Raw genomic sequence first — 26,279 nt, 5'->3', positions numbered from 1 at the left:
GGCACAATCATGGCTCACTGTAGCCTTGACCTCCTGGCCTTAAGCAATCCTCACACCCCAGCCTCCCAAAGGGCTGGGATTACAGGCGTGAGCCCCTGTGCCTAGCTGGAATTGGTTATTTTTTTTAGCTCAGCCTCACAAAACCTCCCTAGAATCCCCGGACACATGAGCACCTAAGAAAGTGGGGCCACTTATTAAAATGTCCGCAGAGGGCCAGGGCTCCTCACACAGCCCATCATTCTCTGCAGGCAGGAGCTCTGATTCTGTCTCACACTCTGGCCTCATGTCTTGGTGTCCCATCCCCTACCTCTGCACTATTCCTGGCTTCTTTTCACTTGTGCTTTCCTTAAACCACATAGACCTAAGTGGCTCTAGTTCCCTCGGAAGCCATTTGACACAGACACATGAGCACAAGACAGACAGACCACGCTCCATCTCTCTGCAGGAACCATGTCTTATCTTGGCCCATGTCACATGACCCAGAGCCAACAGAGGCTTCATTCTCATCCCCATGAACCAGGGAGCTTGGCCACCACCCCACATCCTCCCTCAAGATCCCAGCATCTTATTTTCCCCTTCCCTCTATCTCCAATCTGCACTCTCCTCCAAGACCAAGATTTCCTAGCCTTCCATTCACTGTTTCTCTCCTGCATGCATGTGCTTTCTCTTTATATGGTGGGATTGGGGGAGATACTCCTCTGTGCTGAATGTAATTGCATCATTTAAACTTCAGCTTTGTTGGAAGCTGAACAAATGTTTCTTATGATTAGGCATAATAGAAGCCTGTCAGTAACAACATGAACCTCTGATCAATTAAGCAGCTGACCAATTGTTGCCACCTCCTCGTGCTCTTGTTACCCAATAAATAAGGGGGCTGCCTTTGCTCACTAGAAGCGGGGAGCTCTCTTCTTCCCCATGCTAGCCTTTACTTAAAGCAGTTTCTTTTTTTCCTTGGTTTTCATTTCTACGTTCCTCCCTTCCTTCAGTCTTGTAAGGATGGTCTCAAGTGGTAACAGTAGTAACTGCTGTAATGACGGTCTGGAGCAGTAAGAGTAGTAACTGCTGTAGTGATGGACTCAAGTAGTAACCTTGGAAGTCAGCCACAATGCTTTTCTTGAATGTTCACGACAATCTGAATTCAGTTAAGAAAGGCAAGGAGTGGAGAGGTGGGGCACTCCTTTACCCCTGGAGTCCTGGGGAAAGTGTCTGTCCTGGATACATCTGGCACTTGTGCCAATCTGCTAGGTTCCTGTGAGGGTCTCGGGTCCTTCTTTGAACTCCCTTTCCTCTGGGCAGGTCGTGCATGCCTGGGTCACTCCCCACCACTCATTACCTAGGGTCAGGCTGCAGGGCTGCAGGGCTGGGGTGGGGAGAAGAGCTGGTGGGAAGGCTGGTGAGCCTTCTTGCAGAAAGAGCTGGATTTACGCCATCACGTTGAAGAGGACCTTGGCAGCTTTTACTGAAATGGAGAATGCAAATGCTGTGCCTACCAGTGGAAGAACTCTTCCACGTGTGCGCGAAGAGACACACACAGGGATGTTCAAAGCAGCATTGTCATGCTGGCAAAGAATGGGAAGTGATTTAAATGTCTATCAATAGTAGAATGGAAAAAATAAAACTCGTCTTATTAATATGATGGACTGCTAGAGCAGACAAAATAAATCAATGAGATATGTAAGGTTTAGTGATGGAGGCCAGATAGCAAAGGGATGATTTGGGGTAGAAAGTAGCTAGTTGCAGAATGACTTGTACTATAGGTATTTATGGATATTTGAAAAAACGCAAAAGAATACTAAACAGTGTTTAGGTGCAAAGTATATTTGCAAGGTACAATTTAAAATCATGGACAGGAAGGATGCACTTAAAGTCCAGTATGACGCTGCCTCTGATGAAGAAGGTAGGAGATTCAGTGAGAGAGAAGCATAATGGGAACATCAATCACAAAAATCTAAAGAAATACGACTCAGTGTTGGCTGGTGCAGTGGCTCACGCCTGTAATCCCAACACTTCGGGAGGCCGGGGTGGGCTGATCAACTTGAGGAGGTCAGGAGTTTGAGACCAGCCTGGCCAACATGGTGAAACCCCATTTCTACTAAAAATACAAAAATTAGCCAGGTGTGATGGTGTACACTCGTAATCCCAGCTACTCAGGAGGTTGAAGAGGGAGGATCACTTGAACCCGGGAGGCGGAGGTTGCAGTGAGCTGAGATCATGCCACTGCACCCCAGCCTGGACAACAGAGCGAGACACTCTAAATAAATGTCTCACAAAACTCAATAGTAAAACAAAACACAATCAAGCAATTCAATTAGAAAATGGGCAAAAGGCTAATCTTTAGAACAAGGATGAGCATAAAGCAATGAATATACAGGCTTGTGCAGAGCAATTACATTATGTCCATCTCAGCTTCAAACTTGCTTTAAGCTAAGGAAGGAGAATATTTGGTTTTCAAATCTAAAAATCCCCAGAGTAGATCTGCTTTAGGACATCAAATGCCTGAATGTGTGGTTTTTCTCTGTTTCACCTTCCTTTAAGTTGACTTCAGGCTTAGGCAGCCTCTCTTCACAATGGCCCCCAGAAGAGAGGGACCAGCCTTCAAGTTCAAGATCAGTAGAAGAGAGGTTCTTTCTCCTGGTGGTTAAAAGAGAAGGGCTGGCCAGGTGCGGTGGTTCATGCCTATAATCCCAGCACTTTGGGAGGCCAAGGTGGGTGGATCATGAGGTCAAGAGATCGAGACCATCCTGGCCAACATGGTGAATCCCCGTCTCTACTAAAAATACAAAAATTAGCTGGGCGGGGTGGTGCGCGCCTCTAGTCCTAGCTACTCAGGAGGCTGAGGCAGGAGAATTGCTTGAACCTGGGAGGCAGAGGTTGCAGTGAGCCAAGATTAACGCCACTGCACTCAAGCCTGGTGAGACTCTGTCTCAAAAAAAAAAAAAAAAAAAAAGGCTGGATCCACAGTGGGTGCACTCTGTCACCCAGGCTGGAGTGTGCAGTGGCATGGTCTTGGCTCACTGCAACCTCCACATCCCGTGTTCAAGTGATTCTTCCGCCTCAGCCTCCCAAGTAGCTGGGATTACAGGTGTGCACCACCACGCCCAGCTCATTTTTGTATTTTTAGTAGAGACAGGGTTTCGCCAAGTTAGCCTGGCTGGTCTCAAACTCCTGACCTCAACTGATTCGCCTGCCTCAGCCTTCCCATGTGCTGGGATTACAGATGTGAGCCACCATGCCCAGCCTGGGTTCATCTTTCATTGGTCTGGATTGAGTCATGCACCCAAGTGTGAACCATCACTGTGGTCAGAGGATGAACTGTAGATGAGCAGGGTCCTGGTTTCACACCTGCCCCTGGAGCAGGAGCTGGGGGTAAAGTCAGCTCCACCAAACCACATGGCAGAGGACAAGGGAGAGATGTTGCTAAGAAGGCCAAACCAATCGGTGCCATCTCTGATTGCTGGTTCATTTTTGAAAAGAGACTGTAGAGAATGTTATGATAAAATTGCAATCCTCAGGGTCCAACAATCAGTACACTCTTCCACCCCTTCCTCTTGTGTTTTTTTTTTTTTTTTTTGGTTGTTGTTTGCTTTAGACGGAGTGTCTGCTCTTGTTGCCCAGGTTGGAGTGCAATGGCATGATTTTGGCTCACTACAGCCTCTGCCTCTTGGATTCAAGTGATTCTCCTGTCTCAGCCTCTCAAGTAGCTGGGATTACAGCTGCACACCACCACGCCCAGCTAATTTTTATATTGTTAGTAGAGATGGGGTTTTGCCATGTTGGCCAGGCTGGTCTTGAACTCCTGGCCTCAGGTGATCTGCCTGCCTCAGCCTCCCAAAGTGCTGGAATTACAGGCATGAGCCACCATGCCCGGCACACCCCTCCCTCTTATCACTGTGTCCCACCCCTAGGAGCAGGACTTCCCCAAGGTCATTGAGAGTAACATTGTAAATGGTGGCATCTTGAGCCCATCTTTAGGAGAAAGGTCTCCCATAAGTTTACAGAAATCAAGTGACCTAACGTCACATCACAGTCCCTTTCTGGTGGACACTCACTCTCCCCACCATTAACCTGAAAACCGGAGAGGGCTGAAGGAGCCTTGCCGGTAACCTTCAAACTTCCATTCCTCGCTTAACACAATGCCTCAGGAACCATTTATTTACCGGGAGGTGCAATGGAACTAGTTGAATCGCCCTAGCTTATATTAACTAGGTGCTATCAAGTAGTCTAACAGTAAAATTGAGGCTTTCACAAAGGCTTTGTGAATTCCCCCGTTCAAAATAAAACACACTAAGCCTGTTTATAACTTTTGCCCTGAAAATCTTTCTTTAATCTTTGCTGACAGGAATTAAATATGCACTTTCCCTAGGATGACATAGGACAAATATAATTAGTATTATGCTTTCCTTCTCCCCCAGTTCCTATAGCCTCTAAGATTGGAAATCCTACATATAGTTTGGGTTAATATTCCACCTAATTGTAGATGAAGTAATCCTTCCCCATAAAACAAGAAGAAAAACTCCAATTTAAACAATCCTTAGGCCAGGCGCGGTGGCTCAAACCTGTAATTCTAGCACTTTGAGAGGCTGAGGTTGATGAATCACTTGAGGCCAGGAGTTCAAGACCAGCCTGGCCAACATGGTGAAACCCCATCTCTACTAAAAATACAAACATTTGCCAGGTGTGGTGGCGCATGCCTGTAATCCCAGCAACTCGGGAAGCTGAGGCATAAGAATTGCTTGAGCCTGGGAGGCGGAGGTTGCAGTGAGCCAAGCTCATGCCACTGCACTGCAGCAGTCTGGGTTACAGAGCGAGACTCTGTCTCAAAAAAAAAAAAAAAAAAAAAAAAAAAGCATCTTTAGAACAGGAACTAACATAACATGGTGAATACAGGTCTGTGCGGCGCAATTACATCCCATCCATCTGAGCCGGCTTTGTTACTTCTTTATCTCCTCATGGAATAGTTCTGATTGTTAAGTATCATATTTAATATCTCAACAAGCTTTGCATTTTATCAGGCAAACTTTAAACTCACTTTGAGAGGTTAAGTGGCATTAGACTTTATGAAATTTCGAATCATTAAAGACACATCAGGTAGCAGAAGGTTTTATATGTGCACAATTGCACTTAGCAGAGTAATCCTGTCTGTCATCTCACCAGGTCAGCAATTCTCAAACTTGTGGATCTCAAGGTCGGTTTATACTCTTGAAAATTACTGAAGGGATGGGTGTGGTGGCTCACCCCTCTAATCCCAACACTTTGGGAGGCTGAGGCAGGTGGATTGCTTTAAGCTTAGGAGTTTGAGACCAACCCGGGCAACATGGCAAAACCCCATCTCCACAAAAAATACAAGAATTAGCTGAGCATGGTGGCGTGCACCTGTAGTTCCAGCTACTTGGGAGGCTGAGGTGGGAGGGTTGCTTGAGCCTGGGAAGACGAGGCTGCAGTGAGTTGTGTTCATGCCACTGCACTCACCCTGGGTGGCAGAGTGAGACACTGTCTCGAAAAAAAAAAGAAAAAAGAAAAAAAAGGAAAGAAAAGCAAAAATGAAAATTCCTGCCAGGCGTGGTGGCTCATATCTATAATCCTAGGACCTTGGGAGACTGAGGTGGGCAGATCATGAGGTCAGGAGTGCGAGACCAGCCTGACCAACATGGTGAAACCCTGTCTCTACTAAAAATACAAAAATTAGCCGGGCATGGTGGCTTGTGCCTGTAATCTCAGCTACTTGGGAGGCTGAGGCAGGAGAATCGCTTGAAGCCAGGAGGCAGAGGTTGCGGTGAGCCGAGATCACACCACTGTACTCCAGCCTTGGCAACAAGAGTGAAACTGCGTATCAAAAAAAACAAAAAAAAAAAACAAAAAAAAAACAAAGTTAAAACAGAAAAATTTAAAAATGTGTATTAACTTATCTTATAATAATAATAACCATAAAACCATTACATGTTAATATAAATGACACGTTCCTAGAAAAAACAACTATATCTTCAAAAAATTCGTGACAGTGGCATTGTTTTACATTTTTGCAGATCTCTTTAATGCCTGGCTTAATAGAAGACAGCTGTATTTTCCTATCTGGTCTGCATTCATTCCGTCATGATATCACGTCACGTAGCTCTCAAAACCTCCACTGTGCACATTATTTGTGAGATAATGAAGGTGAAGAGAGCAATCAGCATTTTAATAGCATTATGAATAGTTTTGACCTCACAGACAGTGCTTTGAAAACTGCTGCCCTAGATTCACATAGTTCGAAGCTACTTGGGTTGGGTTTTCCTTGATGTGTGGTATTAAAGGGAAGAAGGAAGGGAGGGAGGGAGTAACTCATTGAGGAACTCCTACCATCTTACAGTGTTTAAAATAACCACTAAATAATGGAAACAGAACATACAGTTTCCAAGTCAGTGGAGGAATAAATGAAATGAGAAAGAAAAGAAATAAACGAACTGAATCTCAAAAGAAGGCTAGAGAGAAGAAAAAAAGAAATATTAAAAGGTGAGGGATGGCTTGGCAAGGTGGCTCACACCTGTAATACCAGCACTTTGGGAGGCCGAGGTGGTTGGATCACCTAAGGTCAGCAGTTCAAGACCAGCTTGGTCAACATGGTGAAACCCCGTCTTTAATAAAAATGCCAAAATTAGCCAGGCATAGTGGCACACACCTGTAATCCAAGCTACTTGGGAGGCTGAGGCACGAGAATTGCTTGAACCCAGGAGGTGGAGGTTGCAGTGAGCTGAGATCATGCCGTTGACTTCAGCCTGGGCAACAGAGTGAGACTGTGTCTGAAAATAAAATAAAATAGAATAAAATAAAATAAAATAAAATAAAATAAAAGATGAGGGAAATAAAAAGCACAAAATAATATGGTAGACTTTTTGCTTTTTCTTAAATAGGTGTGTTCACTCTGTGATATTTGTGATAGTTTATTTGGCCTGTACACTTATTATTTGGCCATGCATGGTGATATGGTTTGGCTGTGTCCCCACCTAAATCTCATCTTGAATTGCAGTTCCCATAATCCCAAGTGTCATGGGAGGAACCAGGTGGGAGGTAATTGAATCATGGGGTGGGTTACCCTCATGCTGTTCTCCTGATAGTGAGTGAGTTCTCACGAGATCTAATGGTTTTATCAGATGGCTTCTCCCATTTTGCTCTGCACTTCTTGCTGCTGCCATGTGAAGAAGGACCTGTTTGCTTTCCCTTCCACCATGATTCTATGTTTTCTGAGGCTTGCCCAGCCCCGTGGAACTGTGAGTCAATTAAACCTCTCTTCTTTGTAAATTACCCAGTCTCGGGTATGTCTTTACTAGCAGCGTGAGAATGGACTAATACACACGGTATGCATGTATATTTCAATATATGTGCACATACTTCACTAAAAGTATTTAAAATAAGATGACAGAGATAAATTCAAATATATTGGAAATTATTATTTTATAACTATAAATGGACAAAATGGTACAGTTAAAAGACAAATATTGTCCAGTTGTCAGACCAGATTACAAAAAAATCCAACCACTCTATACACTGCTTAGGAAAAGCACATTTAAAACATAAAGATATAGCAAGGTTGAATGTAGAAGGATGGACAGAGATGGACTGGCAAATAATAAGCAAAAACCAAGTTGATGTGGCTCTGTTAATATCAGACAAAATCAATGTTAAGGCAGAAAGAATTTTGAAAGTTTCAATTCACCAGGGAGACAGAACTACAAGGAGAAATAGGCAAATTTACCATGATAGAAGGAGCATGTAACACACCTCTTCATATAACTGATAGATTAAATAGATGAAAATGTATATAAAGGTTATGAAGATTTGAACATCATAAATTAACAAGTTTGATCTAAGGTATATACAGAGAACATAGCACCCAACAATTACAGAATCTATCTTCTTTTCATTACTGGAATACTAGAATACTGTTTATATTCTAAGCCAAAAAACAATTCTCAGCAAATTTCAAAGAACTGATACCATTGAAACAATACTCTGTAGTTAGAAATGAATAACAAAAGGATAAAGGGGGGAAACATCTGTGTTTGAAAATTAAGGTACATTTCCAAAGTCAAGAGTCAAATAAAAAAATCCCATGGAATTTGGAGCCTATTTAGAACTCAAAATAATGAGAATGCTGCAAATCAAAACTTGTGACATCCCACTAAAGCTGTTCTTAGAGGGAAATCTATCCAACACACTAAATGCTTACATTAGCAAAGAAGAAAGGCTAAAATGAACGAGCATCCAAGTTAACATGTTAGAAAAGGAGCAACAGAGAAGACTCAATAAAGTAAAAGGAAGGAAACAATAAAGATAAGATTAGAAATCAATGCAACAAGAAAACAAAGATAAATGCTGGAGAGGATCTTGGTTTTCTGAAAAGACAAATTAATGGGTCTCTTGGCAAGACTGAGAAAGGAAAAAAGAAGGCACAAACACAGTAGGATGTAACCACTCAAAAGTATCATGACCTGTTTCTTCCCATCACGTGGACTCTGCTCCGAAGGACAGTTGCTTTTCTTGCCTGGTTTGTCCACCTGTGCCAGCCACTGCTTTGTTTCGGGTGCCGGTCCTTTGAGTCCACATGCAGGCTCCTGCCTTGCTCCCCAGACTTGCCTGTGCTGGGTTGTTCAGATCCAGCATGAGGAACCCCCTTTTCTGAATCGGGGCCAAGGATAGAATTAAGAGCTCTGCAGCAGATAAGTCAGTGCTACTGTCTTCTAGATATAGAGTAGGGAAGATAAAGAATTCCAAGACTCTGATATTACAAGATAAAAAGGCTTGTGGCTTACCATGAGGCAGTACCAGCCATAATGAAGAAAATGTCATAGGCTGGGTGTGGTGGCTGATGCTTGTAAACTCAGCACTTGGGGAGGCCCAGGAGGGAAGATCGCTTGAAGGCAGAAGTTGTTGAACATCCTGGCCAACATAGTGAAACCCTGTCTCTATAAAAAATAAACAATTAGCCGGCCATGGTGGCGTGCACCTGGAGTCCCAGCTACTCAGGAGGCTGAGGCAGGAGGATGGCTTGAACCCATGAGTTAGAAGCTGCAGTGTGATGTGATCACACTACTGCATTCCAGCCTGGGTGACAGAGGGAAACCCTGTCTCTAAAACCAACCAACCAACCAACCAACCAAACAAACAAACAAACCAAAACAAAAGGAAAGAAAAGAAAATAGAAAATATCATAGACCCCAAGGAACAAAATGAAAACACTCACTCAATGGCTGAGTTGGGTTTGAGCTATCTACTACTCTCCTTGACCTCTGAAACTGGGCACAGGAGAACTCACCTTAGTTCTGTTTCATTGTTCCTCTTTTTGAGCCCTCCTTCCCCAAAAGGTTACCCCAAGCTGGCGCCTCTAATCTCCTGTGAAGGTGACATTGGCCGTCCCTAAGATCCACATCTTCTCTCTGCAGCTGGCTCTCCAGAGCTTTCACCACCACCCAGACAGTGAGACCCCCGCCGTGCTGCCACCTCCGTGGCCCTCTGTCAAAGGCTTTGCGCACGGTGGAGGAAGAGAAACAGAAAATCAAGGGGTTAGGCTGGGCATGGTGGCTCACGCCTGTAATTGCAACACTTTGGGAGGCCAAGGTGGGCAGATCACTTGCGGTCAGGAGTTTGACACCAGCCTGAGTAGGGGTTGAAACCTCGTCTCTACTAAAAATACAAAAATTAGCCGGGTGTGGTGGTGGGTGCCTGTAATCCCAGCTACCCGGGAGGCTGAGGCAGGAGAACCCAGGAGGCGGAGGTTGCAGTGAGCCAAGATCATCACACCACTGCACTCCAGCCTGGGTGACAGAGCAAGACTCCATCTCAAAAACAAAACAAAACAAAATAAAAACAAAAACAAAGAAAATCAAGGGGTCAATGCAGCATCGAGAGCACTGAACAACACTGCGCCTGCCCACCAATTTGACTCTTCCACTGGGGGAACCCACCATGGGAGACAAAGCACAGGGTCCAAGCAGACCAGGAAGTTGAAGAGGGTCACGGCAGCCAGTCTCTTGGCTCTTCAGCACCTCCAGGTCCCCACTTGGGGCCAGAGAGCATGATCTGCACAAAGTGCCAGTGGCAGAAGGTGGTGACCGCCATGGGGGTGAAGAAGAGCTCCAAGCACAGCTCCAGCTGCAGCACCACGGCCAGCTGCTCTTGGGGGACGTTCTCATAGCAGATACGGAGCCCTCTGGCATATCTCATCATCTTCTTGGTAAAAACTAGACAATGAGCCAGGCATGGTGGCTCATGCCTCCCAGCACTTTGGGAGGCTGAGGCAGGCAGATCACTTTAGGTCAGGAGTTCGAGACCAACCTGGCTAACATGGTGAAACCCCGACTCTACTAAAAATACAAAAATTAGTAGGGAGTGGTGGCACATGCCTGTAGTCTCAGCTACTCGGGAGGCTGAGGTAGGAGAATCACTTGAACCTGGGAAGCAGAGGTTGCAGTGAGCCAAGATAGCACCACTGCACTCCAGCCTGGACGACACAGCAAGACTCCATCTCAAGAAAAAAAAAAAAGAAAGAGTAAGCTTAAATCTCCTCGAAGTGATCATTGAAAGGTAAACATTTAAAATAAAACTTGTGGCTGGGAGCAGTGGCTCACACCTGTAATCCCAACACTTTGGGAAGCCAAGACAGGAGGATTGCTTGAGTCAAGGAGTTCAAGACCAGCCTGGGCAACACAGTGAGAGCCTTTCTCTACAAAACGTTAAGAAATTAGCTGGGCATGGCGGTGTGCACCTGTAGTCCTCGTTACTCTGGAGGCTGAGGCAGGAGGATCACTTGAGCCCAGGGGCTTCAAGGTTACAGTGAACCATGGTGGCACCACTGCAAACCAGCCTGGGCGACAGAACAAGACCCTGTCTCAAAAAAAAAAAAGTTTAAAAATGAATAAAATAATGAGGCCTTAACCTATGACAGATAGCATATCACCTGCTGGCCCATCTGTACATCTCATTCTGCATTCGAGAACTTCAGAAGTAGAGGACCAGATGAATGGGAGTGGCCCTGCCGCCACGGGGCTGAGCTCCACCGCTTTTGTCCTGCTCCTCCTCGCCAGGCCCTGACCATCTCTCCACTGACTTGTCCTGGCCCCTTTTCCATTTCTGTGGCCTCTTCCCTCTCCTCCTTGGAGAGTAGCCTGTCCTCTGCTCCCTGCATGCTCTCCTTCCATCCCGTCTCTTCCTGGGGTTATGATCCCAGCAACCTCTTCCCTGAGCCCAGGCGAGGTCAGGTCCCTTGCCTTTTCCTGCAGGTAGATGGGTGGGTTTTCAAAGATGTCTGGTTTCAGAAGCCGGTGGCATCTTGTCTAACTGGACCACCTTTTCCTTTTCCACCAACGGCAGGCTTTTATACCTGGAAGAGTCATGTGGTCAAAAAGAGGAAAGTCAGTGGTTGAGCTCTTTCTAAAGCAGCTTGACCTTCTGGGTCTCCCACCAGATTTTGTCCCCAACAGACTTATTTCACCCAGAGTCCAATTTTTTTTTTTTTGAGGCAGAGTCTTGCTCTATCACCCAGGCTGGAGTTTAGTGGTGCGATCTCAGCTCACTGCAACCTCTGCCTCCCTAGTTCAAGTGATTCTCCTACCCCAGCCTTCCAAGTAGTGGGATTACAGGTGTGCAACACCACGCCCGACTAATTTTTGTATTTTTTGTAGACAGGGTTTCACCATGTTGGCCAGGCTAGTCTCGAACTCCGAACCTCAAGTGATCCGCCTGCCTTGCCTCCCAAAGTGCTGGGATTACAGGCGTGAGCCACTGTGCTCAGCCCAGAATCCAAATTTGAACAGTTTTTTCAGGCTTCCTCCTCCCCCTACATTCCAAGAGGTTGAATTCTGTTTCCTTCCCATGGGCAATTATCCCACACGACTACACGCACATCCATCTCTCACTTCCGCTTTTTCTTTCTTTCTTTCTTATTTTGTTGTTGTTGTTTTGAGACAGGGTCCCACTCTGTTGCCCAGGCTAGAGTTCAGTGGTGCAATCGCGGCCCACTGCAGCCTTCACCTTTCGGGCTCAAGTGATCCTCACACCTCAGCCTCCCGAGAAGCTGGGCCACAGGTGCACGCCACTGCATCTGGCTAATTTTTTGTATTTTTGGCAGAGACGGGGTTTCACCATGTTACCAAGAGTTGTCGAACTCTTGAGCTCAGGCAGTCCACCCGCTTTGGCCTCCCAAAGTGCTAGGATTACAAGTGTGAGCCACCATGCCCAGCCCCAAGTTTGTTTTTAGAAAAAAAAACCTAGCATTGTCCCTTGCCTATAACAGACACTCAAATCCTTGTGGAATGTAAGGATGGAGGTTGGATGTGCCTGTGAATACTTGCTAGCTGATGACACAAGCAAAGAATGTGTCAGAACCTGCGCCTTTTGTCTCCTGTCCTTTATCTGCATTCTGTTGCCCGGGTTACTGGTATGGGGACATCTTTGGTGCTGAGGTCTAGGTTCCAATGAGTCAAAGGGAGAATTCAAACTAAGTTGTCTGGCAGCACCCCAAGACTGTGCTGACCTCACACACAGCTGTATCACGGGAGTGGGCAGTGCATCATCTCAAATCCAACTCAACTGAGCAATGGTTCGGGCTGAGTCACACCATGTATGAATCGGGGGGCGGGGGTATGTGGCTCCTCTCCAACAAGCCACACTGTCTGCTTCCCTGTCACAAAACACATGGAGCCGTTACTCTGTGTGAGGTACTGTTCTAGGAGCTGGAGACAAGAGTGAACAGGATGAACAGAAAACAAGTAGACAAACCAACAAGGCAATTTTACAGGAAGAAAGGAAGTAGGCCAGGCAAGGTGGCTCACGTCTGTGATCTCAACGCTTTGGGAGGCCCAGGCAGGAGGACTGCTTGAGGCCAGGAGTTCAAAACCAGCCTGGTCAACATAGCGATACCCCGTCTCTACAAAAAGTGAGATAAAAAGTCAGGCATGGTGGCTCACACCTATAATCCCAGCTACTTAGGAGGCTGAGGCAGGAGGAGGATTGCTTAAGGCTGGGTGTTTGAGACCAGCCTGGGCAACATAGTGAGATCCCCTGTCTCTACAAAAAAGGATAAAAATAAAAAATTAGCCAGGCATGGTGGTGCACACCTGTAGTCCTAGATACTCAGGAGGCTGAGGCGGGAGGATCACTTGAGCCTAGGAGTTGGAAATTAAAATGAACTATGATGGCACCACTCCAATCCAGTGGTCCTGTCTGGGGGAAAAAAAAGGGAAAGAAAATAAATCGGCTAGGCGTGGTGGGGTTCATGCCTGTAACCCCAGCACTTTGGGAAGCTGAGGCGGGCACATCACTTGAGGTCAGGAGTTTGAGACCAGCCTGGCCAACATGGTGAAACTCTGTCTCTACTAAAAATACAAAAATTAGCCAGGTATGGTGGCGGGCACTGGTAATCCCAGCTACTCAGGAGACTGGGGCAGGAGAATCACCTTAACCTGGGAGGCAGAGATTGCAGTCAGCCGAGATCATGCCACTGCACTCCAGCCTGGGCGACAGAGGAAGACTCTGCCTCAAAAAAAAAAAAAAAAAAGGACCAAAAATCAAACAACAACAACAACAACAACAAAAAGCAAGCAGGGAAATTGAGAGAGAGAGAGAGAGAGATGGGCAGGGCCTGTCAGGAAAGGCCTGGGACATTTGAATGGGTGAGAAGGAGCCACTATCTGAAGAGCGTTCCAGGTAGGGGCACCAGCGGGAACTTAGCCTGAACCATGGCTCGGTTGAGTTGGACTTGAGATGTCGCACCGCCCACTCCCATGATGCAGCTGTACGTGAGGTCAACACAGCCTTGGGATGCTGCAAAACAGCTTAGTCTGAATTCTCCTTTTTTTTTTTTTTTTGAGACAGAGTCTCACTCTGTTGCCCAGGCTGGAGTGCAGAGGCGATCTCGGCTCACTGCAACCTCCATTCTCCTGGGTTCACGCCATTCTCCTGACTCAGCCTCCTGAGTAGCTGGGATTACAGGCACTCACCACCACACCTGGCTAATTTTTGTATTTTTAGTAGAGATGAGGTTTCACCATATTGGTCAGGCTGGTCTCGAACTCCTGAGCTCAGGTGATCAACCCACCTTGGCCTCCCAAAGTGTTGGAATTACAGGCGTGAGCCACTGTGCCCGGCCTGAATTCTCCCTTTGACCTCATGGAACCTAGGCCTCAGCACCAAGGATGTCTGAAGCTCTGAAGCTCTGAGGTGGGAGGAGGCTGGAGGAGGGGCCCTGGCTGCTCTGCCTGCAGCCACAGGGAGAGTGCACTGGAGCCAGCTGTAAAGTGCTGACTTTAGTTAGGAGCTGTTTGCCCTCAGCTGATGGTTACCTCATCCGTTGATCATATCGTCCTCTCCTGATCTGTGATACGTTCTGATAAGCTGCTGCAGCCAGTCAGAAACTGACAGCCCCCTTCTGGTTCCATGCCCTTGTGGTATCTTGACAACAGAAACCCACATTGAGCCACACTGTCCTTGTCAGCATCCCGCAATGACAGATAGGGTAAAGGTCAGATATGGGGCACCCAAAACAGAATGGGAAGCATTTTAAGATGAAAGGGGGCCAGATGTGGTGGCTCATGCTGGAAATCCCAGCACTTTGGGAGGCTAAAGCAGAAGGATTGCTTGAATTCAGTTGTTTGAGACCAGCCTGGGCAACATAGCGGTAGCCCATCGCTAAAAAAATTAAAAAATTAGCTGAGTGTGCTGGTGCATGCTTGTATTTGCAACTACTCAGGAAGCTGAAGTGGGAGGACTGCTTAAGCCCAGGAGTTCCAGGCTGTAGTGAGCTGCAATCACGCCATTGCACTCCAGCCTGGGCGACAGAGCCAGACTCCATTTCTTTAAAAAAAAAAAAAAAAAGCTGGGCCCAGTGGCTCATGCCAAAGTGCTGTAATCCCAGCACTTTGGGAGGCTGAGGCGGCAGGTCACTTGAGGTCAGGAGTTCCAGACCAGCCTTGCCAACACGCTGAAACCCCATGTCTGCTAAAAATATAAAGATTAGCCAGGTGTGATGGCTGGCACCTGTAATCCCATCTACCCAGCAGGCTGAGGCAGAAGAATTGCTCGAACCCAGGAGGCGGAGGTTGCAGTGAGCTGAGATTGCACCACTGCACTCCAGCCTGGGCGACAGAGTGAGCGACTCAGTCTCAAAAAGAAAAAAGAAAAAGGAAAAAAAAAAAAAGCAAGGGAATGCAGATGTCTCCAGCTGTATGGGCACCTGGGCACCTGGTCACCAGCATGCACCAACAGGGGAAATGGAGGGAAAGGAAGAGTGTGGGCCTAGCCGGGGGACAGGATTTGAGTTAGCCACTGCCCTCATTTGCCTGTAGGCTGGCCCTTCCTTACAGTTCAACCTGCTGCAGCCCAGCTGTACCTGTTTTGAAACCACCCTGACAGGCTAACATCAGGAAACCCTATCTGGTGGGAAAGGGAAGTTTCCCAGATGCCTCCCCTCCACCAGCTGCTGCCCCTACAGGCCCATGGTGCCAACATCTTGGGAATAGGGCCCCAATTACACAGACTCTGCCACCCCATCCTTCCAGTTGCTCAGGCCCTGAGAAATCTCTGATTCTTCTCTTTACCCCATCAGCAAATCCTTTCCACCCTGTCTTCAGAATAGCTCCCCAATCCAGCCACTTTTTAGCACAGCCCTGGTCCAGGCTCTCAGCACTTTCTCAGCTGTGTCTCTGCAGCATCTGCTCTCTGGTTCCCTACTTCACACCACGCAGCAGCCAGAATGGTCTTATAAAAACATAAGCAGGGCTGGGTGCAGTGGCTCACACCTGTAATCCCAAAACTTTGGGAGGCCAAGGCGGGAGGATCACTTGAGCCCAGGAGTTCAAGACCAGCCTGGGCAACATAGTGAAACCCTGTCTCAACAAAAAATAAAAAAATTAACCAGGTGTGGTGGCACATGCCTGTAGTCCCAGCTACTGAAGAGGCTAAGGTGGGAGGATCACTTGAGCCCAGGAGATTGAGGCTGCAGTGAGTCGTGATTACACCACTGTACTCCTGCCTGGGTGACAGAGTGAGACCCTGTCTCAAAATAGATAAATAAATAAAAACATAAGTAGGCTACGTCTCTTCCCTACTCAGAACCCCACAGAGGCTCCCCACCTCTCTGATCAAAGCTAGAGTCCTCCCAGAACTTGCAAGTTCTGCTCCACGGGCCTTCTGTCTGCAGCACTCTCTGGCCTCATCTGCTTCTCTTTTCTCCCATCTCCCTGTGACTCTGGGGACTGCGATTCTCTGGGGATTTCTCTGGGGACTGCGATTTGATGACATCTTTCAAAATGAAACACCCCGGCCGGGGATGGTGGCTCACGCCTGTAATTCCAGAACTTAGGGAGGCTGAGGTGGGCAGATCACTCGAGGTCAGGAGTTCAAGACCAGTCTGGCCAACATGGCAAAACCTCATCTCTACTAAAAATACAAAAATTAGCCAGACGTGGTGGGGCAAACCTGAAATCCCAGCTACTCAGGAGGCTGAGGCAGGAGAATCGCTGGAACCTGGGAGGAGGAAGTTGAAGTGAGCTGAGATTCCACCACTGCATTCCAGCCTGAGTGACAGAGAGAGACTCCGTGTCAAAAAAATAGAGAAAAAAAAGGAAACAAAACAAAACAAAAGAAAACAAAAAAACCAAAATGAAACATTCCATATTATTTGATCCAAGAAGCTGATATCTACAGATTTACTGTATGGATATACTTTTCTGGTTTTTTTTTGTTTGTTGTTTGTTTTGTGATAATAAAAAATTGGGAGCAACCTGTCTATCAGTAAAGGCTCTGGTTAAATAAAGATCATGGAGCATCCACATGGTAGGAATCCCACACACCTGTTACAAAGAACGAGGCAGGTCCACGTATGCCAATGTAGATCAGGCCCTGACATGTACTGTTCAGCGGAAAAAAGCAAGGCATGAGGATGGCCATGCGTCTCCACACCCATTCAGCGAGGACTTCCTGAGTAGCCCCCATCACAGCACTCGCCGGTGCTGGGGATTCAGCGGTAGACAAGGCCTGGCTCCATGGAGCTGACCATTGCAGCAAGATGGGCCAGAGATTGATGAATAGTGATTACTTAAAACTCACAGAATTTATACATGTAGAAAAGGGGAGGAGACTCTGATTTTCTTTTTCTCTTTCTTTCTTTCTCTTCTGTTCTCCCCTTCTTTCTTTCTCTCTCCCTCCCCTTCTTCCTTCCTTTCTTCCTTCCTTCCTCTCTTTTCTTTCCCGTCCCTCCCTCCCTTCCTCCCTCCCTCCTTCCCTTCCTTCTTTCCTTTCTCTCCCTTTCTTTCTCTTTCTTTCTTTTTCTTTCTCTCTCTCTTTCTTTCTTCCTTCCTTCCTTTCTCTCTTTCTTTTCCTTCTTCTTTCTGTCTCTCTCTTTCTTTTCTTTTCTCTCTCTCTTTCTCTTCCTTCCTTCCTTCCCTCCTTCCTTCTTTTTTCTTTCCTTTGTTTCACAGGATCTCACTGTGTTGCCCAGGCTGGAGTACAGTGGCATAATCATAGCTCACTGCAGCCACAACCTCCTAGGCTCAGGTGGTCCTCCCACCTCAGCCTCCTGAGTAGCTGAGACTACAGGTACACAGCACCATGCCTGACGAAAACTTTATTTCTTATAAAGGGTTACAGCCTGCAAGGTGGCTGTCCCACAGGCTGGGAAGTGTGCCTTCGGCCAAGACCAGAGACAGGTACTTCGAAGGAAGAGGGTTTGGGGTAGGAGTTTTATACTGAATGGGTTGGCTAAACATACATATTCAACAGATTACAGGAGAAGCTATGAATATTCATGAGGTAGTCATGACACATGCATATTGAACAAATATGCATGTAACATACAACCTATGTTGGCCAGGTGTAGTAGCTCACGCCTGTAATCCCAGCACTTTGGGAAGCCAAGGCGGGCAAATCACTTGAGGCCAGGAGTTTAGGACCAGCCTGGCCAACATGGCTAAACCCGTCTCTACTAAAATTTAGCCAGGCGGAGGGGCGCGCCTGTAGTCCCAGCTGCTTGGGAGGCTGAGGCATGAGAATCACTTGAACTTGGGAGGCAGAGGACGCAATGAGCAGAGATAACGCCACTGCACTCCAGCCTGGGCGACAAAATGAGACTCTGTCTCAAAAAACAAACAAACAAATAAACAAAAAACCAACCTATGTTCACCTTGGAGTGGAGACTTAGCATTTAAATGTTATTACAATTAGGCCCTAAATATCAAAAGGTATTTTCAAGACAGGAAGGCAACCTGTGAGCAACCTCTGTAAACCAGCCAGGACCAGTCCCTGTTCTTCTTACCAGGAGAAAGTGGCTGAAATCAGTCTCTTCTCCAATCAAAGCTGTAGTTGTGGCTGGTGGAACAGAGGCTGGAGGTCAGTTATTCAGCATCTGCAGGAGCTTCCAAATGTTTCAACACTGCTTATCCTGAGGCCAGTGCTTGTTTATCTGCTAGAGAAAAAGAAAAGCCTCGTGGCAGTTAGAGCATAAGTTATTCTTTAAGTGTAGAGGTGCGTGACTTACCACTTGCCTGGCATGACCTTAGTTCTATTTATAATTTGGTATCTTACTTCCATAAAGGGTCCGTTCTGTCAGTCTTATGATCTCTATTTTAACATGAATGCTGGTCAGTGTCTGAACTGTAAAAGGTAAAGACGTATAATGAGGCATGTCTGACCTCCCATCCTATCATGGCCAGGAACTCAAGTTTTAAGGTTTTTCTGGGGTCCCCTTGGCCAAGAGGGAGTCTGTTCAGTCACTGGGGGGGCTTAGGATTTTTTTTTTTTTTTTGGGAGACAGAGTCTTGCTATGTCACCCAGGCTGGAGTGCAGTGGTGTGATCTCAGCTCACTGCACCCTCTGCCTCCCGAGTTCAAGCCATCCTCCCACGTCAGCCTCCAGAGTAACTGGGACTACAGGCGCACTCCACCACGCCCAGCTAATTTTTGTATTTTTAGTAGAGACGGGGTTTGGCCATGTTGGCCAGGCTGGTCTTGAACTCCTGGCCTCAAGTGATCTGCCCGCCTCGAACTCCCAAAGTGCTGGGATTACAGGCATGAGCCACCACGCCCGGCCAGAATTTTAAGTTTACAACAGTTACATTACCACAAAGCCTGGGGCTGTGGGCTGGAGTCGGGTAGGAAGCCTCAGATTGGGAGAACAGAGGAAGGAAGGCGGCGCAGGCAGCCCAGGAAGGCCCTCGGAGGAGGTGGTATTTAAGGAGAGAACTCCAGCAGGAGAGTCGGAGGCTCTAGGGACATTCTAGGCAGAGGTACAGCAAGTCATGAGATGAGCCATGGGGTGTCAGAGGAGGCCGGGGAGGCCAGAGAGGCTGCAAGGGGACAGGGTGGGGGAGAGCCGTGGGAATGAGGCAGGGGCAGGCGACTGGGTCCAGCTCACGTAGGGCTTTGTCGCCACAGTAGGATGTAGAATGATATCCGGAGAATGATGGGAAGCCCCTGGAGGGCAGAGGTTGTGCCGTAATCTGTGTCACATTTCCGAAGGACCCATCTGGATGCTGAGTGAGGAAAAGACTTGGGGAAGGGTCACCCATGAACCTATTCTCCGCGGCTGTCTCTGGGAAGGGGCTCTGGGCGTTGGCGCGGGAGGGAAACTCACCTTTCCCCGTATATCCTTTTCTGCTGTTGAAGAAATTTTCTAAGTATGTGAGTATGTGTGTGAATGTTTAATGTTACTCAAAAAATAAATTAAAAGCAAGAAGAAAGTGATTAAGGCGATAGTTCCTGTAAGAGGCAAGCGGCATGGCCCACTCTGTCCAGCCACAGCCCTTTCTTCTGTTGAGCTGTTGAGTGTATGGGACCCAAATAGACATAAAAAAGAAAAAGGGACCAGGTGCTGTGGCTCACACCTATAATCCTGGCACTTTGGGAAGCTGAAGTGGGAGAATGATTTGAGCCCATGAGTTTGAGACCAGCCTGGGCAACACAGCAAGAACCCTGTCTCTACAAAATAAAAATTAAAAAGCTGGGCGTGATGGCATGTGCCTGTAGTCCCAGTTACTTGGGAGGAGGAGGCAGGAGGATCACTTGAGCCCGGAGGTAGAGGCTGCAGTGAGCTACAATTGCACAACTGCACTCCAGCCCAGGCTACTGACTGTCTCAAAAAATAAAAATTAAAAATTAAAAAAAGAGAAAAAAATGTAAAAAAGCAAACCTTTTTTTTTTCTTTGATAGAGTCACTCTCACCAGGCTGGAGTGCAGTGGTGCAATCTCGGCTCATTGCAACCTCCACCTCCTGGGTTTAAGCGATTTTCCTGCCTCAGCCTCCCGAGTAGCTGAGCCTACAGGTGGCTGCCACCATGCCTGGCTAATTTTTGTATTTTTAGAAGAGACAGGGTTTCACTATGTTGGCCAGGCTGGTCTCGAACTCCTGACCTCAAGTGATCCACCTGCCGCGGTCTACCAAAGTGCTGGGATTACAAGCGCGAGCCACCACGCCCAGCCGAGAAAACAAATTTTTTAAAAGGGAAAAGGGTATAGCCACCAGCTGCAAGGCAACTGGATCTCTGAGCCACACCCCTGCCCACTCTTGGCATTATCCAGCACCTGAGATTTTGCCAGTCACATGGATATCAAGTAGCGTCTCCATGCCGTTTTAGTGTAGTCTCATTTTTCTGATTACTAATGGTTTGCACATCTCTCAACAGAACGCAGGCTTCCTTGCTCATCATCATTGTGCTGGACTCGTGTCTCAGCAATCGCTGTTAATTGCAGCAACAGAGACCAACTCTGGCTCATTTAGGGATTTAATGATAAGATATTGGGTAGCTCAGAGATGTGCCAGGAAGGCTGGAAAACCAGGCTTCTAGAATCAAGGAAGCTGCACAGCCAGGGCCACATTAAAAGTCATGCCATTAACTCAGTCCAGGAAGGACGTGGGAGTCCCCCCGCCACCGCACACTAGGACCTAGAGCCACATTCTGTCTGCCACCACTACTGCCACTGCCAGAAATAATTTTCTGCTTTTCCTCCTTTGTGCCATTAGCCTCAGATTCAGAATTTGGGGCAGGTGCACCTGATTGGCTAAACGCAGGCATCAGGGATGCTTGGAAAACAAGGTCCCTGCATCAGTAGCTTCTCTAGTGGGAGATGGGCTCTGCCTCCTCACAAGGCTCATACTTGGCCAGTTCCCTAAACACAGAAGGGGTTCAGAAGCCAGGAAACCAAAAGATGGCCACTGTCCCCTCAGGGCCTTTCAGAGGTCAGGACAGCCTACACCTCTTCCATTTTTTGTTTCCCAGTGTATGAAAAATATGATGCAATACCAAAACCGTGAGATTTATATATTCGTGTCCTCATTTGAGGTGACCAAAACCATGCTGTTGGCTGGTTGCAGTGGTTCACGCCTATAATCCCAGCACTCTGGGAGGCCGAGGTGGGCGGGTCACCTGAGGTCAGCAGTTCGAGACCAGCCTAGCCAAGATGGCAAAACCCTGTCTCTACCAAAAATACAACAATTAGCCGGGCGTGGTGGCTCACACCTGTAATCTTAGCTACTCGGGAGGCTGATGCAGGAGAATTGCTTCAACCCGGGAGGCAGAGGTTGCAGTGATCGCGCCACTGCACTTCAGCCTGGGCGACAGAGCGGGACTCCATCTCAAAAAAAAAAAAAAACAATAACAGAGCAACATTCTTAATGTGAAATAAGTAATGTTCACAAAATAGTTTTAGCATGTTATTTGTTTGTTTTTGACAGAATTCAGCACAGTGGAGAGCTAGAAATAGGCCACAGGTTTAAAGTTGGGTGCTGCCAAGACAGCCCTGTGACTGTATGTTTACCTTCATTCAGTATTCATGACAGAAGAGTGATTATGAGGCCGGGGCCAGATGGCCCAGGACTGCGATTCAGCGTTGCTGTGAGTACAGGACTTGTCCTTGGGCAGCGGCCCCTCCCAGCACAAGCAGCCTGGTCTCTTCCGCCGGCCCAGAGCTGCACTGGATGTCGTGCAGACGCTGAATGCCAAAGAGGTCAATTACAGCACAGCACCCTCCTTCTTAGAGAAAACACTCCTGCTTTCAATGCCTGAGGCTTGGGAACGGTTTAAGCACCTCGCTCCTCCGCAGCCCCGGGGATGGGCACTTAGAAGCCTGAGCATGTTAAATCATTTATTTATTCCCATGATTCCAGCCACCCTCACAGTGACCCTGGAGGTCTCCAGGCAGCTTGAATCCCTGTGCTGCCTTATCTGCTCTCACTTGGTCAGAATCAAGGTGCTGAATGGTTTCCCATTATTATTTCTCTAATTTTAAAAAGTTGCATTATAATGTGTGAATATAGCCTTTAAAAAAACCCAACGGTACAAAAGTAAAATGTGAAATGCCGTTTCACTTCTCCCTGACACTTCTCCATTCCCAGAGGAAACCTCTATTTTGTTTATGTCCATATATGTGCGTATACAAATATTTGGTTTAAAAATGCATACACGGGGCCGGGTGTAGTGCCTCACACTTGTAATCCTAGCACTTTGGGAGGCCAAGGCAGGCAGATCACTTGAGCCCAGGAGTTCGAGACCAGCCTGGGCAATATAGTGAAACCCCGTCTCTACTAAAAATACAAAAAATTAGCCAGTGTGGTGGTGTGCACCCATAATCCCAGCTACTCGGGAGTCTGAGGCAGGAGAATTGCTTGAACCCAGGAGGCAGAGGTTGTAGTAAGCCGAGATCGCGCCATTGCACTCCCGCCTGGGCGACAGAGTGAGACTCCGTTTCAAAAAAAAAAAAAGCATAACTGGGGCTGGGCCCGGTGACTCGCGCCTGTAATCCCAGCACTCTGGGAGGCTGAGGCAGGCGGATCACCTGAGGTCAGGAGTTCGAGACCAGCCTGGCCAAGATGGTGAAACCCTGTCTCTACTAAAAATACAAAAATAAGCCAGGCATGGTGGCAGGCGTCTGTAGTCCCAGCTACTCGTGAGGCTGAGGCAGGAGAATCACTTGAACCCAGGAGGCGGAGGTTGCAGTGGGCCGAGATGGCACCACTGCACTCCAGCCTGGGTGACAGAGCAAGACTCCATCTCAAAAAAAGAAAAGAAAAAGCATAAATGGAATCATACTCCATATTTTTTTTGAAATTTTATTTTTCACCTTACAATATGCTTTAGTGATCTTTTCATGGCAGCCTATACCAATCTAGAGTCTTTCTAATGGCTACATGGTATTTCATTTTAGGACTGTCTTATAATTTATGTAACCATTTAGGATTAATTTACATAGTTTACAGTTCTCTTGGTATAACAAACAGTGCCTCTGCAAATTTATCTATTACCTATCTATCTATCTATCTATCATCTTTCTATCTAGCTAGCTAGCTAGCTATCTGAACAGGTGTGAGTATTTTGGTTAGATGAATCTTTAGATCTATAATTTATGTAATTGCTAGTTCAAAGAGGTATGCCTTGAAATTGTTGATAGATATTTGCATATTACCTTCCTGATAGTGTTTGGTAATTTACATTTCCACCAGCTGTACATGGCAGAATCCCTTCCCCTGCACCTTCTCCAACACTGGATGTTTGAATCTTTAATGTTTTTCCTCATTATGGGTAAGGATGGGTAAAAATGATGAAATCTTGTTGTTTTAGATTACATTTAGAGGATTCTTCCTACTTAAGTGATCCAGGTTCATTTCAAACCACTGTAGGAAAGGATGGACTATTCAGTAAATTATGTTGGGATAGCTGCCTATCCACTGGGAAGAATTACAGCCAGGTAACAAGAATAAAAGGCAGGTGCATTCAAGATCAAAAATGTTTTTAAAAATAATAAATGTTGTGTAGGTATTGTGTAATTTTAAAAGTCTTATAAATAAGGAGGCTTTTTCCCAGTATGACATAATGTAGAAGTCATCAAAAAATGATGAGAAATTTGAGCACATAAAAAGAGATAACCTATGAAAAACATTACAATCAACAAAGTAAAAGGCCACTATCCTTCTACTTATACACCTGATATGAGGTTTGTAAGCCAATATTCAAAGAACTCCTGTAAGTCAAATAAGAACAAAGCAAGTATTGGGAGAAACACAAATGACTCTACACAATATGTAAATATTGTCTATCTCATTTTTAATCTGGGAGATTAATATGAAAATAATACAGAGTATGACGGTTAATTTTATGTGTTGGCTTGGCCACGCCACAGTGCCCAGATATTTGGTGAAACGTTATTCTGGGTGTTGCTGTGAGGGTGTTTTTGGATGAGATTGACATTTACATTGGTGGACTCTGAGCAAAGCAGATTGCCCTCCAAAATGTGGGGGACTCCTCCAGTCACTGAAGGCCTGAACAGCACAAAAGGCTGACCTCCACATGCAAAAGAGAATTCTCCTGCATGCTGGATTCAGACTTTGTCTGCAGCAGTGGGTCTTCCTGGCTCACCAGCAGGCTCTCTTTAGACTCAACCACAACTTCTTCCTGAGCCTCGAGTCAGCCAGCTTCCTCCGTCAGATTTTGGGCTCATCAAGCATTCACAATCACATGAGCCAATTCCTTAAATAAATCTCTTTATACACACATGCAGACATGCAGACACACACACACACACACACAAACACACACACAGAAACACACAGACACACACACGGAGACACACAGTAACACACAGACACACACATGGACACACACACAGACATGCACACAGAAACACAGAGACACACACAGACACAGAGAGATATACACACACACAGAGAGACACACAGACCCACAAAAACACACAGAGACACACAGAAACACATACAAACATGCACACAGAAACACATACACAGAGACACACATTAACACACAGAGCCACAAACATACATGCACACAGACGCACACAGAGACATACAGACACACACATGGAGACACATATACAGACACACACAAAAACACACACAGAGAGAAACACACACACAGACATGCACACAGAGACACACATAGAGACACAGACAGAGACACACATACAAAAACATACAGAGACACACAGAGGTACACACACACAGAGACACACACAGACATGCACAGAGACACACACACAGATACATACACAGACACACACACAGACACACACACACCGCAGAGACACACATACACACACAGACACATGCACAGAGACACAGACACACAGACACACCCACAGACACACATACACACACTCTATTGGTTCTGTTTCTCTGGAAATCCCAGACTAATACTTAAGTTTCTAAATTCTAAATATCATCTCAAAAAATTAAAATACAATATTTTCTCTTGTCAGCAGAGTTATGGGGTCTCTTACAGACTGTTGGGGAAGAAAGGGTTGACTCAGCCGGGGAAGGTAATTCATCGATATTTATCAAAGCTTTACATGTACATATCATTTAATTCAACAGTACGACTTGTAGGAAATGCACAGTGCACGTGCCTTTATGTAAAAGGATGTTCTCATAGCATTATTTATAATAGTAGAAAATTAGAGATATTTTTAAAAAATCATTCATTCATTTATTCACCATCAAATGCCCAGTCTGTGCTAGGCACGGTTTTAGGCACCCACTGGGTATATAGTGACAAAGAAAACTGACGTGGTGACTGCTGTCATGGGCTTCTCAGTCTAGTAGGAGTCACGTTAAACAAATGAACACACACATACAAACATCAAACCATGAGAGCGCAGTGTGAGATAATATCAGAAGGGGGCTACTTGATATTGGATGATCAGGGAAAGCCTCTCTAAGGCGTGACATTGGACAGAAACTTGGAAGAAGTGGGGAACTAGCCAGGTAAAGAGTGGAAGGCATGGTGCATGCAGACATTCAGAGCTTGGCCTGCTCAAGGGACAGAGAGAAGTCCAGGCCAGAAGAGCGATGTCAGTGACACTTCTCTGGGGATGGCCCCAGAGAAGCTTGGAGAGAGAGGCAGGGCCTCAAAGGCTGTGAGGAGGAGGCCAGAATGGAAAGCCATTGAAAAGTTTTATTCAGGGCAATGACAGGATCCAATTTATATTCCTCATGAAACTGGCCTGATTGTCCCATAGATGCTTCTTTTGGATCAACGTAGAAATTCACCCTTCTTTTTTTTTTTTTTTTTTTTTTTTTAGATGGAGTCTTTCTCTGTTGCCCAGGCTGGAGTGCAGTGGTGCGATCTTGGCTCACTACAACCTCTGCTTCCCAGGTTCAAGCAATTCTCCTGCCTCAGTCTCCTGAGTAGCTGGGACTACAGGCACATGCCACCAAACCCGGCTAATTTTTTGTATTTTTAGTAGAGACAGGGTTTCACTGTGTTAGCCAGGATGGCCTTGATCTCCTGACCTCGTGATCCACCCACCTCG

General features: G+C 46.5%; 1 long non-coding RNA gene and 1 pseudogene across 1 annotated transcript; one reads left to right on the top strand and one right to left on the bottom strand.

Annotated features, from left to right (window-relative positions):
* Positions 1 to 1,097: 1,097 nt before the first annotated feature.
* LINC01531 (long intergenic non-protein coding RNA 1531) lies at positions 1,098 to 12,331 on the bottom strand. Its single transcript, NR_040046.1, has 5 exons — positions 12,257 to 12,331; positions 8,787 to 11,353; positions 8,466 to 8,652; positions 6,656 to 6,776; positions 1,098 to 1,459 (listed from the first exon to the last, which is right to left on the bottom strand). It is a non-coding gene; the product is annotated as a long intergenic non-protein coding RNA 1531 (long non-coding RNA).
* RN7SL491P (RNA, 7SL, cytoplasmic 491, pseudogene) lies at positions 2,789 to 3,057 on the top strand (annotated as a pseudogene).
* Positions 12,332 to 26,279: the final 13,948 nt, after the last annotated feature.

This window comes from Homo sapiens, chromosome 19 (assembly GCF_000001405.40).
Source record: "Homo sapiens chromosome 19, GRCh38.p14 Primary Assembly".
In the NCBI taxonomy this organism is placed as follows: domain Eukaryota; kingdom Metazoa; phylum Chordata; class Mammalia; order Primates; family Hominidae; genus Homo; species Homo sapiens.
This window is presented reverse-complemented; position numbering and strand designations above follow the sequence as displayed.